A 16,450-nucleotide genomic window follows, 5' to 3' on the forward strand; every position below is an offset into this window, starting at 1 on the left:
AAAAAAGAAAAAACCAAACAAACAAACAAACAAAAAATAGCTGCCCAAGAACTATTTCCTTTGGAACACAGCTCCCCAAATCACACTTTAAGGACTGGCTTTCTCTTTGACCTTGGGACCCCTTATCTGTGTCATCTGTTGTATTCATTTTCACTCACACCTACCTGAGGGTTTGGCTATCATCTCATTTCTCTTCATGGTCAAAGGTTTTCTTCCTTGCTCCAGACAGGTGATCAGGTCTGGCTTAGAAACAGTAATACCTGTTTTATTAAAAATAAATAACATAAATCTTGCTTATGTTCTCCAATTACAAGCTAGTAATGTGCTCAGCACAGAGGATGTGATAAAATATTCTAGTAAATTAATACAAAAATACTAAGTTGTAACAGAAATTTTTAAATAATTAGAAAATACTTTCAATTTGTAGGTTTCTTAATTTTACTACCTGGTGCTACTGAATCAAAAATTGGTGGTGGCAATTAGATTTTCAGGTGGAGCAACAATATTTTATGCCACTAAATTTCTGGAATTACCACTAATTTAGAGTGAAAAATACAGCTCAACTCAGGAAAGTGGAAAGTTTGGATTAAGATAAAACATGTTGAAGAAATTCTTTTCTAAACGAACAAATTCTGAAGATTTTCTGGAAAATGGGGATCTGAAACTCTTTTATGCAAAGAATAAATTACTAAAAAACATTCTACAAAAAATAAATAAATAAAATCTATAGGGTATATTATGTACTCAAGTTATCCTCACCAAGGAAGACCAGGTTACTGTAGTTCTCTAACATCACATTCCTATATAAATTCCGCTGTGCAGTGTCCAGGCAATGCCACTCCTCCAGAGAGAATTCTATGGCCACATCTCTAAATTGCAATGGTCCCTGAAAAACACACACACACACATTTTTACCAAGTGGCCATGGGCGGAATTTTTAATTTGACTTAAGGTGAAATAAGAGAGTAAAGAGAACTGGTTCTGACTTATAGGACTGACTAAAATTATCCAATAAAATGATTTCAAAACAGAAATATTCTCTAATGTATTCTCTAACTCTGAGAAGAAAGAGCAGCATAAGATCCACAACATCAATTCATGTATGTTTCTAGATAATAAAGTATAAAATTAAGGGCAAGAACAGGAACATGTAAATTTTTCAGTGCTATAGTTACATTATACAGAATGAGTTGTGAATATTTTTCAGATGGAAAAGACATGTTTAGTTAGAAGGCATCTCTAAAGTTTTAATATGTACAATAAGCTGAAGACATCGTTATGCAGGTTTTTTTTCCCCCAGAAGATCTGGAATAAAGTCTGATTTATTTATTTATTTATTTATTTAGAGATGGAGTTTCGCTCTTGTTGCCCAAGCTGGAGTGAAATGGTGCCATCTCAGCTCACCGCCACCTCCGCCTCCCGGGTTCAAGCAATTCTCCTGCCTCTGCCTCCTGAGTAGCTGGGATTACAGACATGCATCACCGCACCCGGTAATTTTTTTCGTAGTTTTAGTAGAGATGGTGTTTATGTTGGTCAGGCTGGTCTTGAACTCCCTACCTCAGGTGATCTGCCCACTTTGGCCTCCTAAAGTGTTGGGATTACAGGTGGAGAAACCACACCTGGCCAATGTGGTGAATTTCTAATAAGCTCAACAGTAATGCCAATGTCTTTGGCCCAAGAAGGATATTTTGTCAAACATTTAGTAAGTGGAACAGCCTGTGTTTTTCCCACTTTTTCTAGCCTGTAAACAAACAGCCCTCATTTACCAAAGAAACATGTGTAGAAAAAAAAATAAGGACAGTTGCCAGATTAAATGTGATGGTTTATGCACATCAGCTGCATAAAGATACGTAATAATAAAGAGGAAAAATAATTAACTCTATAGTGAAAAAAATATGTCCCAGAGATCTTTAACCAATTAATTAATGGTTAATGCATTAACTGTTAACTGCACTAGGACAATGGTTTTTTTTTTTTTTTTTTTTGAGACGGAGTCTTGCTCTGTCGCCCAGGCTGGAGTGCAGTGGCGCAGTCTCGGCTCACTGCAAGCTCCACCTCCCAGGTTCACGCCATTCTCCTGCCTCAGCCTCCCGAGTAGCTGGGACTACAGGCACCCGCCACCATGCCTGGCTAATTTTTTGTATTTTTAGTAGAGACAGGGTTTCACCGTGTTAGCCGGGATGGTCTCGATCTCCTGACCTCGTGATCCACCCACCTCGGCCTCCCAAAGTGCTGGGATTACAGGTGTGAGCCACTGCGCCCGGCCTAGGACAAATTTTTATGATGTGCTAATGCACACAGAAGAACACAGCATCACTGTTGTAATATTCCTCCCAAAAAAAGTAAATTATAGTCCGAATGTAACCATAAACATCAGTTTTAGGCCAGGCATGGTGGCTCATGCCTGTGATAGCAATTTGGGAGGCTGCGGCGGGAGGATCACAAGGTCAGGAGTTCGAGACCAGCATGACTAACATGGTATAACCCCATCTCTATTAAAAATACAAAAATTAGCCGGGTGTTGTGGCAAGCACCTGTAATCCTGGCTACTCAGCATGCTAAGGCAGAATTGCTTGAACCTGGGAGGTGAAGGTTGTGGTGAGCCGAGATCATGCCACTGTGCTCCAGCCTCAGTGACAAAGCCAGACTCCGTGTCAAAAAAAAAAAAAAAAGAATCATCAGTTGTATACAAACTTTAAAATACAGAAAACTCTATGTTCAGTAACTTTTAGTAGTAATTTTAAGTAGGCTTCATTTAGCATCCTAAAGAGCAGGTATCTCCTAATAATTTTTTTCAGAACTTTCTGGGTAATAAATGCCATCCCATTTAAATAAGCATTTTCTTCTTCTTCTTCTTCTTCTTTTTTTTTTTTCTGAGATGGAGTCTGGCTCTGTTGCCCAGGCTGGAGTGCAGTGGCGCAATCTCGGCTCACTGCAAGCTCTGCCTCCCAGGTTCACGCCATTCTCCTGCATCAGCCTACCAAGTAGCTGGGACTACAGGCGCCTGCCACCAAGCCCAGCAAATTTTTTGTATTTTAGTAGAGACAGAGTTTCACCATGTTGACCAGGATGGTCTTGATCTCCTGCATGATCCACCTGCCTCAGCCTCCCAAAGTGCTGGGATTATAGGTGTGAGCCACGGCACCTGGCCTAAATCAGCATTTTCTTAATCCTCTTCTGCATAGAGCTAATGGAACACACAGCTGGAGCCTCAACATTACATGTTCTCCATCTTTACTAAGGACCACAGTTTTCCCCAATAGAAATCTTGAGTATCCACATCTTTCCATGTTCAACAGCCACAAAGGGAACATTTTTAATATTGCAGATCATAAATTCTTGCTGAGAATTCTGCATGGCATATAAGAAGCTATGATGCGGAGAATAAGGAGAAGGCTCTGAAATATAGGAAAGAAATATTTTTCAGACTCTTGACTATCGTAAGAATTTAAAGAAGTAATTAAGCCAAACTCATTAGGGAGGAAAAACACAAGTAGACAAGTAAAGGTTTGTGAGTACTAAACGCATGGCAGTCCAGGAGGCAGAGTCGACATAGCTCTTCATCTGACACATGTTTACCTGAAGAAAAGCCACTTTTTTTTCTTTCTCCTCCTTCTCTGGATTCCTTCTCAGATGAGATTCTCTAGACAAGTTACACCTGTTATCTTGAGACTATGTCTTTAAAGGTGTCAGTACCACATGTTTACCTGCTAGCATAACATCAACTGGCAGAAAAATAAAGACAGAAAAAGTCCACCCATTTCTGTCCTTTACAACAGAAGACATTCAGGAACAATGAGCTGCTCCATGAAGATAAAAATATAAATTTCTCTTTGCTGTCCTCAGATGCTCTCCCCTGCCACGGACACCAGCCATTTCTGCTACAGTAATGGAAATAAGCGCCACACTGACTTGTCCCTACCAAACGCAAACAGAACAGGCCCTGTGACCACCCTTTAGGGCAAAGGTGGAACTTAACTCTCATGAATGTATTTTGAACCCCTCATACTTGGTTCTGGTCTCACCTTAGAGTCACATAAGGGACTCCATGGATGCTTCCACCCAGAACAATAAACAGAAGCTGTGCGGAGGACACAAGGAATTTCTGCAAATTGGCCATGTGATTCTAATGAGAAGCCTGGGTTGATAACCACGGAGCTAAGCATTTTCTCTCAAGCTTTAATGAGCTTATAAATCACTTGGTAATTTTGGCCCCAATTTATGTAATGTGACTCTGGAGGTTTGAAAAGGGTCCATGAATGGGTGTTTTAAACAAGTTCCCTTTCAATGCTGATGTTGCTCCCCCCGCCCCTTGGCGCATTAGCATTAGTTAGAGAAAGCAGGTACAGCACAAGGTCTCTTATTACTTAGCACTCTTGTCACAACCAAATACTTCTCGTACAAATAAGGACAACCCATCTCCATCCAAAAGTTTTATATCCTTTGCTGGTTCTTTAAAGTTTACAGAAAAAACAGAAGGCAGCAATGTCTGAAGAAGTCTGGATTTAAAAAACAACATGTACACACGTACTAATGCAATGTTTATTAAGCAGGTACTATGTGCTCAAGAGTATGATACAGAGCACTGTGCTGGGCGTAACATATTACGTGATTTAATTCTCATAACACCCTGGGAGCCGGTACTAAGTGTATGATAATTTTCAGGATTTAGGTAAAGGGCCCAGGATTTTTATTGCTTCTTCTGTTTCTCTGCCATCAAATTTGTTAAAAAAAAAAACCATAAAAAATTAAAACTAAATATAGACAGATGAAAGAAATATGGAAGGCAAGAGTTTAATGTAGTTCAGAGAAAATTTTATTCTGTTTATATTTACATTTTTGTGACTTGTGGAGCAATTACTGGATATGCAAGAATGGAAAACAAGTCCCTAAATAGAATGTCTCTGCAAACACTGGTTTTAATATAAAATTTAAAAACTAAGACCCTATAACACATAATTTATTTTTCCCATTTATCTGCTTTTGGATTTCAGGAAATTCTAAGCACCAGCTCTAGAAAGACAACAGGATTCACCAGCCAAAACTCTGACCTCTTCTACCTGTGAGACAAGACTCCAGGGTAGGGTCAGACGTAAATAAGGCCTCCAAAAAGGGTGAATCTCAACAGAACTGGGTCAGGAAGTGGACCCTATGTAGAATTCTGTTCTCTATGTCACTGGGGTATTTCCAGTTTTGTTTTTTCTAAACTTACCTAAAATAAACTTAAATCCCAGAGTCTGTGTAATTTTAATCTTTTCCAGCCACTGCCCTGTCAACTTTATATTATATGCTAATATGCAATTTAAACAAATCCCTTAAGGTTTTCAAGGGTAAGTTTATTAGGAAACAAATATGTTCACTTAACAGGATGAAAGAAATAGAAATACGGCTGGGCCTGGTGGCTCATGCCTGTAATCTCAACACTTTGGGAAGCTGAGGTAGGTGGATCACGAGGTCAGGAGTTCAAGACCAGACTAACCAAGATTTTGAAACCCCGTCTCTACTAAAATTACAAAAATTAGCTGGGTGTGGTGGCAGGCACCTGTAATCCCAGCTACTTGGGAGGCTGAGGCAGGAGAATCACTTGAACCCAAATGTCAGAGTTTGTGGTGAGTCGAGATTGTGCCACTGAACTCCAGCCTGGGTGACAGAGGGAGACTCCATATCAAAAAAAAAAAAAAAAAGAAATTATAACAACAATTCTTCTGTTCATAAATATCCTTTCAAGTACAGACATCAGAAGTCACAACAATATAAAGTGGCAAATAATGTCCAATATTTTGGACATATCTATTTGTTATACCAACCATATGATGCATAATTCAAGTATTTATCTAGTTGCTAGTCTAGACTAAGTTTCTGGATTGTAGGAACCATGGCTGCTTCATGTTTTATTTTAACGGTCATATGAAATGGAAGCTACTAGTTTATCTGTTTGGGTCTCCAGATCTCCTCCTTGTTTATCATCCCAGTACCAGGAAACTGGAGAAACTCTCATCTGGGTACCAACCTAAGACACCTCTTGTATGAGGGGATGAACAAACAGGATGATTCATTTCTCTTACACTGAGAAAGAAGCAGAATTAACCACTCTTGTCAGCCTGACACAATTCTGCTCTGGACATCCTCAAATGTCTCAAAGACCACTAGATGATTGTGAGAGAATTCCCAGTGACCTGGGGCTGGTGGCCCAATGATAAGCCAGGCTAGAGACTCAGGCTGATTCTAAATAGGAAATAGAACTGCCTTGGTGGAGCTACAGAACCTGGATCACCTGTCCTGATTTGCTAGCTCTTGTGTAAGAGAAAGAACACAAATACTCTACTCCAGTATCACATTTTACAGGTAAATATAGTTGTGGTCATAACTGGATATTTTGTGGCCTTGTTCTCTCACTCTTAAGATGCTTTTTTTTTACACTTACACATATTCTGTCATCAGATTCTATTTCCTTCTGGAGGTTCTCACATCACTGTAGCAGGTCAATGAACAAGATGTGAAAAATCTCACAGAACCACACTCCCAAATGGGAGCTGTAAGCTGTCTAGGTTGACATCTCACAATGCAGAAAATGCCTTTTCTTAGTTTTCTGTACATTCTCTATCCAAAGTCCGGTCCTTTTTTGTAAATCCCAGGCAGAGGCCAGATGTTATCTGCAGATTCTAGGTAGGATCCACCTGGCTCTGCATCCTTTGGTGTTACAGCAAGTGGAGTACAAACGAAGGAGAGATCCCCCCCATAGAGGCTGCTCTAGCACATTCTAAATGATAAGTCTACATGAAAAAAAAAAAAAAGCTGACACAACATGAATATAAGTAGACAGTTTATTTGGGTAAAGTTTACAGATTATATATAACCTGCGAGCAAAGATTAAAGTTGCCTGGAATCTACACTTTGAGTAGCAGCATTTACAAGAAGATTTGTAAAGACAATAAGAGAAACACAGAGTGGGCAAAATTGTTTGTCAGAAATTTCTATTTATTTACAAAAATAACATTGATTATTGATTAGATACATATCATTATAGTTTAGGGTATGGGATATAGTGTCCAATGTAGCATTATTAGTTTAATTTATAGCTACATGTGGCAATAGTGAACAGTCTCAAAAGATGAATACAGAATTCAAAGGGAGGAGAAAGACATAATTGCACTTTTATTTTAACGTCTCTGAGTTTGATAACTAAAAGGACTTGCATTTTTCAGATAAAAGTTTTTTAATTCCCAAATCTCAAGACCTGGATTCAAAATATGGAGCTGCAGATTTAGGGCTTGAGTGGCTGGAGTAGCACGCATGTTACCTGCACATTTGTGAGCTTTTTAGCAAGAGAAGGAAGAAAGAAATGGAGATTTTCTTGTCTACATGTCTACTCACTACACACGTTACTCTACTTGGGTTTGTTGGCCCCATGGTCTCTGAATCAGTTTCAGGTTTGAAGATAAAAGAGTCACTGAAAGAGGTAAAATGATTGATTGCTGCCCTGTGAAATTTATAGAAATCTGATCTAGACTCTCTAGAAGTGACTGTAGAGGACTATAGATAAGAAATAGGCAGAAACACAATTCGGCCTGCACATTTAGGGTATGGCATGCACTTTTCTGCACAAGTGTGAATTTACTGGAAGCCTGAGAGGGAATGTCCCCTCGAGTAAATTCTGGTTGGCCCTTATGTGTTTATATCATGTCTGGTAATTCTAGACTGTTTGGAAACAATAATTAAAAGAAAAATTTTCTCCAGCCCCAGAGAAACTCCACAATAACAGAACAGAAAGAAAATGGTTTTATTACACAATTAAACTTGAATGTGACATGCATCAGTCAATCTGCTTAAGAGACTGCAAAGATAGAAAGATGGTCACCATAATTAGTTCACAAGTAGAAGAATTTCCAGCACCATGTCATACATAGTTCATCCTAAATTCACCTGGAGATTGAAGAGGACATCTGTGTATGCTAATTACTTATATTCAATGACAAATAAACTTTTCACCTCTTTATAACAGGTGGTAGTTTAGCAGGATAATCGCTTGAACCTGGGAAGCAGAGGTTGCAGTGAGCCCAGATAGCACCACTGCACTCCAGCCTGGGGGACAGAGTGAGACTCTGTCCCCTGCCCTCCCAGCAAAAAAAAAAAGAAAAAGAAAAAAAGAAAAAGAAAGGAAAAGAACAGGGACATATTTTCAGAAGAATTTTATAAAGTTTCATTTCCATCTCTGCTGTTCTCTCCTCTCCTAGCCATTGAATGGGGGTCTATATTGAAATACATCTTACAACTTCCAACAACACATTTTGATGAAAAAATAGAATCTGACTGTGTTCATATACTGGAATATATTAGAACTTGCAACATAGCTAATTGAAGAGCTACTATAGTTTTTGGGTGGCCACATCACCTGTCTTTATTTGTCCTGTAACAGCAGCATACAAATTTAGTGAAATAAAAGATACTAAAATTGTGTTTCCTCATAATTATCCTGAATGAATAAAGTAATAAACATGTCTGACTAATATCTACTAACTGTAACAATTTGGTTGTAAATATTCTTTGGATATTAGATATAAATATCTAAGTATGAACAATTTTAATGAACTAGTCATAATGTATGTAGCATTAAAAAAATTAAAACCATACATCAGTTAGGCTGGGCGCAGTGGCTCAAGCCTGTAATCCCAGCACTTTGGGAGGCCGAGGCAGGTGAATCACGAGGTCAGGAGTTCAAAACCAGCCTGGCCAATATAGTGAAACCCTGTCTCTACAAAAACCATATAAAAAAATTAGCCGGACCTGGTGGCTCACAACTGTACTACCAGCTACTTGGGAGGCTGAGGCAGGAGAATTGCTTGAACCTCGGAGGCGGAGGTTGCAGTGAGCCAAGATCGCACCACTGCACTCCAGCCTGGGCAACAGAGGCCAGGCGCGGTGGCTTACACTGTAATCCCAGCACTTTGGGAGGCTGAGGTGGGCGGATCATGAGGTCAGGAGATTGAGACCATCCTGGCTAACACGGTGAAACCCCGTATCTACTAAAAATACAAAAAAATTAGCTGGGCGTGGTGGCAGGCGCCTGTAGTCCCAGCTACTCGGGAGGCTGAGGCAGGAGAATGGCATGAACCCGGGAGGCGGAGCTTGCAGTGAGCCAAGATGGTGACACTCCAGCCCGGACGACAGAGTGAGACTCCGGAAAAAAAAAAATCCATACTTCAGTTAAAACATTTTATATTTCAAAAGCATAAATAACAGTATTAAAATAACCATTTAAGTGATTAATTCAAAGTAAATATTGTGGCTTTGTATTCATACTATTTTAGAAAATACTGTTTATGGCTCACGCCTGTAATCCCAGCACTTTGGGAGGCTGTGGTGGGTGGATCACCTGAGGTCAGCAGTTCAAGTTCAAGCTGGCAAACATGGTAATACCCCATCTCTACTATAAATACAAAAATTCAGCCAGGCATGGTGATGCATGCCTGTAAACCCAGCTACTCAGGGTACTGAGGTAGGAGAATCACTTCAACCTGGGAGGCAGCAGTTGTAGGGAGCAGAGATCACACAACTGCACTCCAGCCTCGGCAACAGAGTGAGACTGTCTCAAAAAAAAAAAAAATGAAAATATGGTTTAATTTATATGAATGCAGATTATCTACAAAGATAACTGCTAATTGCTCTGAAATAATAAACAGAAAGCAAGGTACAACTACAGACTCAACTGTTCAGTTTATACCCTGAACTGTTCTTGCTTTCGCAGTATAAGTACTTCAGCCTGCAAATATTGGATAGTTACCTTGGATTATCAGGTTTCTGTCAAAGAAACTGAGTATCATTTAGTCTTTATTATTCTGTATTGCTACCTTTACTCCTATCTTTGTGCTAAGCTTCTGTGTGCTCTTAAAATGAGCTTGTATCTAAACAAATCTGTGTCTACCTTAAAGGAATAAAAATCAAAAAAATAAACTTTTCGGAACCAAAAACAAAGCAATACATCTTAAGTACTTATAATAATCTGGAGTCAGAAAAAATGACAAAACTTTTATTTAGCTGTTGACATGATTTACATATATTTCAAACAAGCAGAGAAAAATATCTACATATATTCTAAATCCCTTAAGAAAAGAGGGAATAGCGGCCAGGCACGGTGGCTCATGCCTGCAATCCCAACACTTTGGGAAGCCAAGGCAGGTGGATCACAAGGTCAGGAGATCAAGACCATCCTGGCAAACATCGTGAAACCCCGTCTCTACTAAAAATACAAAAAAAAGAACAAAAAAATTAGCTGGGCATGGTGGCGGGTGCCTGTAGTCCCAGCTACTTGGGAGGCTGAGGCAGGAGATTGGCGTGAACCCAGGAGGCAGAGGTTGCAGTGAGCCGAGATCGCGCCACTGCACTCCAGCCTGGGTGGCAGAGCGAGACTTTGCCTCAAAAAAAAAAAAGAAAAGAGGGAATAGCAAAATTTTTTTTTGGAACTTTTTGAAGAGTTTGAACTCTTGGACATCTGAAATTAGCACACTGTATGCACTTGAAATAATGTTTACAGGGGAAAAACCAGAAGAGAGAAAGATATATGAAATCCGTAAGTGCACAAGACCAACACAACAGAATAGAGAGCCCAGAAATAATGTCACCCTCCTACACTCATCAGATTTTTGACAAAGCTGACAAGAGGAATATGGGAAGAATTCTCTCTTTAATAAATGGTGCAGGAATAACTACCTAGCACTATGTAGAAGACTGAAACTGGACCCCTTCATTACACCATATACAAAAATCAACTCAAGATAAATTAAAGACTTAAATGAAAAACTTAAAATTATAAGAAACTCTGCAAGATAACATAGAGAATAACATTCTAGATATAGACACTGGCAAAGACTTCATGATGAAGCTACCAAAAGCAATTGCAACAAAAGCAAAAACTGACAAATTGGACCTATTTAAACTAAAGAGCTTCTTCACAGCAAAGGAAACTATAAATAGCTCAAACAAACAACCTACAGAATAAAAGAAAATATTTGCAAACGTTGTCTATGACAAAGGTCTAACATACAGAATTTATTAAGAATTTAAACAAGTTTACAAGAAAAAGGCAAACATCTCATTAAAAAGTAGGCAAATAACACGAACAGATGCTTGTCAAAAGAAGACATACATGTGGCTAACAAGCATTATTAAAAAAAAAAAAAAGGTCATCGCTAGTCATTAGAGAAATTAAAAGAAAAACCACAATGAGATACCACCTCACACCCATCAGAATGGCTGTTTTTCATAAGTCAAAAAATAACAGATGCTGGCAAGGTTGCAGAGAAAAGGGAATGCTTATACTCTTCTGGTGGGAGTGTAAATTAGTTCAACAACAGTAAAAAGCAGTGTGGTGATTCCTCACAGAACTAAAAACAGAATTATCAATTTGACCCAGGAATCTCATAATTGGGTATATAGCCAAAGAAATATAAATTATTATATTATAAAGACATATTCACATGCATGTTCATTGCAGCACTATTCACAATAGCAAAGACGTAGACAGGCCCTGAATGCCTATCACTGGTAGACAAGATAAAGAAAATATGGTATGGTCAGATGCGGTGGCTCATGTCTGTAATCCCAGCATTTTGGGAGGCCGAGGCAGGTGGATTGCCTGAGCTTAGAAGTTTGAGACCAGCCTGGTCAACATGGCAAAATCCTGTCTCCACAGAAAATACAAAATGAAAAATTGGCCAGGCATGGTAATGCATACGTGTGTAGTCCCAGCTACTTGGGAGGATGAGGTAGGAGAGAACTGCTTGAGCCTGAAAGATGGAAGCTAAAGTACGCCAAAATCATGCTATGGCACTCTAGCCTGGGCAATAAGCCTATCTCCAAAAATAAAATAAAATAAAAGATTTAGTAAATACAAAATATGGTACATAAACATCATGGAATACTCTGTGGCCATTAAAAAAAAATGACCATGTCCTTTGCAATAACACTGATGAAGCTGGAGACAATTATTCTTAGAAAACTAATGCGGAGTCCAGGCATGGTGGCTCACGCCTGTAATCCCAGTACTTTGGGAGGCCGAGGTGGGATAATCACCTGAGTTCAGGAGTTTAAGACCAGCCTGACCAACATGGAGAAACCCCTCTCTACTAAAAATACAAAATTAGCTAGGTGTGGTGGCATGCGACTCTAATCCCAGCTACATAGGAGGCTGAGGCAGGAGAATTGCTTGAATCCAGGAGGCGAAGGTTGCGGTGAGCCGAGGTGGCACAATTGCACTCCAGCCTGGGCAACAAGAACAAAAATCCATCTCAAAAAAACAAAACAAAAAACAAACAAAAAAAAGAAAATTAATGCAGAAACAGAAAACCAAATGCATGTTATTATTTATAAGTAAGAGCTAAGTAATAAGAACACATGAACACAAACAGAACAGACACTGAGGCCTAGTTGAGGGGGGAGGGTGGGAGCAGTAAGAGGATCAGAAAACATACCTGTTCGGTGGTATGCTTAGTACCTCAGTGACAAAATAATCTGCACTTCAAACCCCCATGACGTAATTTTAGTTGTATAACAAACCCACATGTGTACACCCAACCAAAAATCAAAGCTAAAAAAAGAAAAAAAAAAAATCCCTGCGTGGGAGAGAGTGCAATGTAGGTGAATGGACTGATTTTCATTACAGATAGTGGCCCAGGTGGGGCTGTTTTCTGATTTATCTTTGTTTGCATGCAGACAGATGAGATTATAACCGGGAGGTCCAGAACCTTAGGTTGGTGGAAAAAACAGGTTGGTGCGGCAGATTCTGTATCTAGGGGTGGGGATATGCCAGGAGACCTGTAGAGACTTTTGGGTTCTTGGCAAGAAACGCTAGGATCAAAAATGCCATGGTGAAGTTCCTGAGGGTGGTGCCCAGTACTGGGAGGAGTGAGGACATGTCAATGTCTACTGTGTGTGTTTAGGAGTGGGTGGGAATCCTGTGGTGGCAGCTACAAGAAAACAGGGTCTGTCATCAGAACTCTTTCCTCTAAGTTTTCAGTCTTCTGTCACCCTGGAAGAAGACCTTAAATCACAGGACAACAGGCAGTGTGACAGCCTGTGTACAGGAGAGCAGAGCCTCCCATTTTCAAATACCCAGAGCTTTGTTCCAGGTCTGGCCCCAGTGATATCTTTTTTCTGGCACCAAATCTATAGAGTTTGCTGAATATCAAACAATTCTCCAACACCAACTCATTGCCTAATAATTGAATTCTGACACCACCTAGAGACAGCACAGACCCTGATCCAGGGCTGGGTCCCACAACATTGTCCTCACTGCAGAGGCCAATCAAAAACCCCATAGGCCCATCTATGCTTCTGAGCTACTGTTTGAAAACTGAGGACTCCCAAAACCTCCCTGAAGTTCAATAATTTGGTACAGCTACTTACAGAACTCAGCAAAACATTGTAGTTATGTTTACCGGTTTCATATAAAAGATGCAGCCCAGGAAAAGCCAAATGGAAGAAATGCATAGAACAAAGAGATGGGGAAAGATGAAACACATAGAAAATCCTGGAAAATATTTGTGATTAATAAAATTCTCCACCTTTTGTGTGCTCCAGGAACAGTATACGGAAAGAAACGCCTTTCTCATTATGACTTAGATGGTGCTCTCTTTTCTTACCTATCACACAGCCAGACACACACTCTGTACATTTTCTCCTTTTTCTCATTAAGAAATTCAGCTGAATTTGTCTTCAGTGGTCAAAATAATTTTTTTTTTTTGAGATGGAGTCTCGCTCGGCCACCCAGGCTGGAGTGCCTTGGCACCGTCTCAGCTCACTGCAACCTCTGTCTCCATGGTTCAAGCAATTCTCCTGCCTCAGCCTCCCAAGTAGCTGGCATTACAGGTGGCCACCACAACTACCAGCTAATTTTTGTATTTTTAGTAGACACAGGGTTATCACCATGTTGACCAGGCTGGTCTCAAGCTCCTGACTTGCGGTGATCCGTCCGCCTAGGCCTCCCAAACTGCTGGGATTACATGCCTGAGCCATGGCGCTCAGCCTAAAATATTTCTTAATCAAACTTTACTTAAGTTTATCTCCATCCCTCAGGCTAGTGAGGGATGGAGATAAGCCATCTCCAATGTAGGAGAAAAGCCCTTTTCTGCCTACATTTTTGCAACCCATGAAGATTTTTTAGTTAGCTGGTACTTCTTCCTGTTGCAATACTTCTTAGGAATTCATTTTTTTTTTACATAAATCTAATATTCTTATTTTAGAAAGCGTAAAAAGTGCCTCAAAACCATAACAACTTCATTACCAGTAAGACCCTCCCAGTTTCCTTTCATCTTAATCTTGACTGCATCTGCCTGTGGGGCCCCAGCTTTCCAAGGCTTTGTAGCTTCTTTCAGAATGAAGGCTCCTTCCGTGGCTGGGGTGAGCAGTCTTGAGATATCCGCAAGGGAGACTCCCCAGAAAAAAATAACAGGGCCTTTAATAACCTCCTGTTGGCCGGGTGCGGTGGCTCACACCGATAATGCCAGCACTTTGGGAGGCCGAAGCGGGTCTGAGGCAGAGAGTTCAAGACCAGCCTGACAAACATGGAGAAAACCCGTCTCTACTAAACACCAAAATTAGCCGGGCGTGATGGTGCATGCCTGTAATCCCAGCTACTGGTGGGGCTGAGGTAGGAGAATCGCTTGAACCCAGTAAGCCGAGATCACGCCATTACATTCCAGCCTGGGCACCACAAGCGACACTGTGTCTAAAAAAAAAAAAAAAAAAAAAAAAATACCCTGTTGCAGGCTTAATATTAGCCTTAGCTTGGAGTCACTAGGTTCAAGCTTTAATGTCCACATCAGTTATTCACTTGGTTTTTGAAACTAAGTGTTAGAAACTCCAGTGAAATTACTCACAATGTTTACATAAAGGAATTTTTAAGATGCTTACTTTTTTTTTCTTTTTTTTGAGCCGGAGTCTCGCTTTGTCACGCAGGCTGGAGCGCGATGATTGGATCTCAGCTCACTGCAACTTCCGCCTCCCGGGTTCAAGCAATTCTCGTGCCTCAGCCTCCCAAGTGGCTGGTACTACAGGCACGTGCCAACACGCCGATAGTTTTCGTATTTTTAGTAGAGACGGGTTTCACCACGTTGGCCAGGCTGGTCTAGAACTCCTGACCACGTGATCCACCTGCCTCGGCCTCCGAAGTGCTGGGATTACAGGCTTGAGCCACCGCGCCCAGCAAGAAAGGGGTTTTGAACCCTAATGCAGTTCCTGTTTTTGTTTCCATCCCCTATTGGCTGGGATCAGACCGCACAATCTAAGCTGATCCTGGTAAGCTTAGACCCAAACTTTTTCCAAATAAAGTAAATGCGCGATTTGCGAGAAAAGGAAAAGGGGGTAGAAGAAGAGGTAGGGTTGATTTACAACTTTTACAACTTATGACCAGAAAGTTGAGTCATTTAAAAGGAACTTAGTTGTCCTAACACCTCTTTACCTCAAGTGATCCGCCCGCCTCGGCCTCCCAAAACGTTGGGATTACAGGCGTGAGCCACAGCGTCCGGCCCCATACATTTTTAATAGGAGAAAAGAGAAACTGTAAACCCAAAGGAACAAAGCTCTTCCCATTCATGAACCCGCACCCCGAGTCAGGATTCTCCCCTGCCCACCCTCCCCTGGTCCCTGCACAATCTGGGAGAGACGCCACGCTGCGGGTGCAGAGCTGCCCAGAGAGGGCTCCAGGCCAGGGTAGTCACCGCGCAGTGAAGAGACAAGACGCCCGGGTGCCGGCTGTCAGCGCAGCTGCCATTTTATGGCTGAACAGGACTGAGGCCGAGCTGAGCAAGGAGAACTGGGGGAGCAGACTGTGGAGCTGACTGCGGGGAGGCCTGAGTCCCGCCACAGCCACTTTTCACCGGTTCCAACCAGTCCCTCTCCTCTCTCGGGATGTCGGACCCTCACTCTCACCATTTTTGGCTTCCAGGAGGTCCCGGTGTCTTAGCTGTGGATCTCCCAATACCTGCAGGACACGGGGCCACACAGCCTGGGCCTTTAGGAGAAGAACCAGACCTGGAGCTCTGACTGCAGCGAGAGACAAAGGCCGCACCAAACCCGGAAACCGTCCTCTTCGCTCCAGCTGCGTTCCTGATTGGATGGTTTCCAGCCCACCATCCCTGATTGGATAATGCTTAAGGCCCCGCCCCCTGAGGCCCTGAGTGACAGTAGATGTGATCAGACGCTGAGCTGAGTGAAGAAAGAGTGACAGCCTAAGCTGCAGCCTTTTCAGGCAGGGCTTCCTTCCTGAGCTGAGCCAGGCCCACCCCAGAGCATGGGAGAATTCTATCTTTTCTTTACTCTCTCTCTTTTTGAATGTATTCAAAAGGTGAACAGAAGTATTTTGCTCTCATATTAATAATACATAAAATTTTTGTTCAAGAGAAAATCAACTTTTACTTTGGCAATAATGTATTATCAATACTAAAGGTAATTTTGA

The 16,450-nt window shown here is 41.1% G+C and overlaps 1 protein-coding gene across 2 annotated transcripts in view, besides 1 other annotated feature; it reads right to left on the reverse strand.

Moving 5' to 3' along the window:
• Positions 1-16,052, reverse strand: part of ZNF626 (zinc finger protein 626) — a 41,633-nt gene extending 25,581 nt beyond the window's left edge. For both annotated transcript variants that reach the window (NM_001076675.3, NM_145297.4), the window contains exons 1-3: positions 15,925-16,052; positions 760-886; positions 165-260 (exon numbers count right to left, since the gene is read on the reverse strand). In NM_001076675.3, the coding sequence (NP_001070143.1) occupies positions 165-260; positions 760-886; positions 15,925-15,927 (226 nt within the window). In that variant the 5' untranslated portion in view covers positions 15,928-16,052. The remainder of the gene's footprint in view (positions 1-164; positions 261-759; positions 887-15,924) is intronic.
• Positions 16,177-16,246: a silencer, noted in NCBI's record as "silent region_10458". NCBI's record gives its function as "represses an Ori minimal core promoter by ATAC-STARR-seq in GM12878 lymphoblastoid cells {active_cell/tissue: GM12878}" and the evidence as "EXISTENCE:reporter gene assay evidence [ECO:0000049][PMID:35858748]".

Source organism: Homo sapiens, chromosome 19 (assembly GCF_000001405.40).
Source record: "Homo sapiens chromosome 19, GRCh38.p14 Primary Assembly".
NCBI classification, from domain to species: Eukaryota; Metazoa; Chordata; class Mammalia; order Primates; family Hominidae; genus Homo; species Homo sapiens.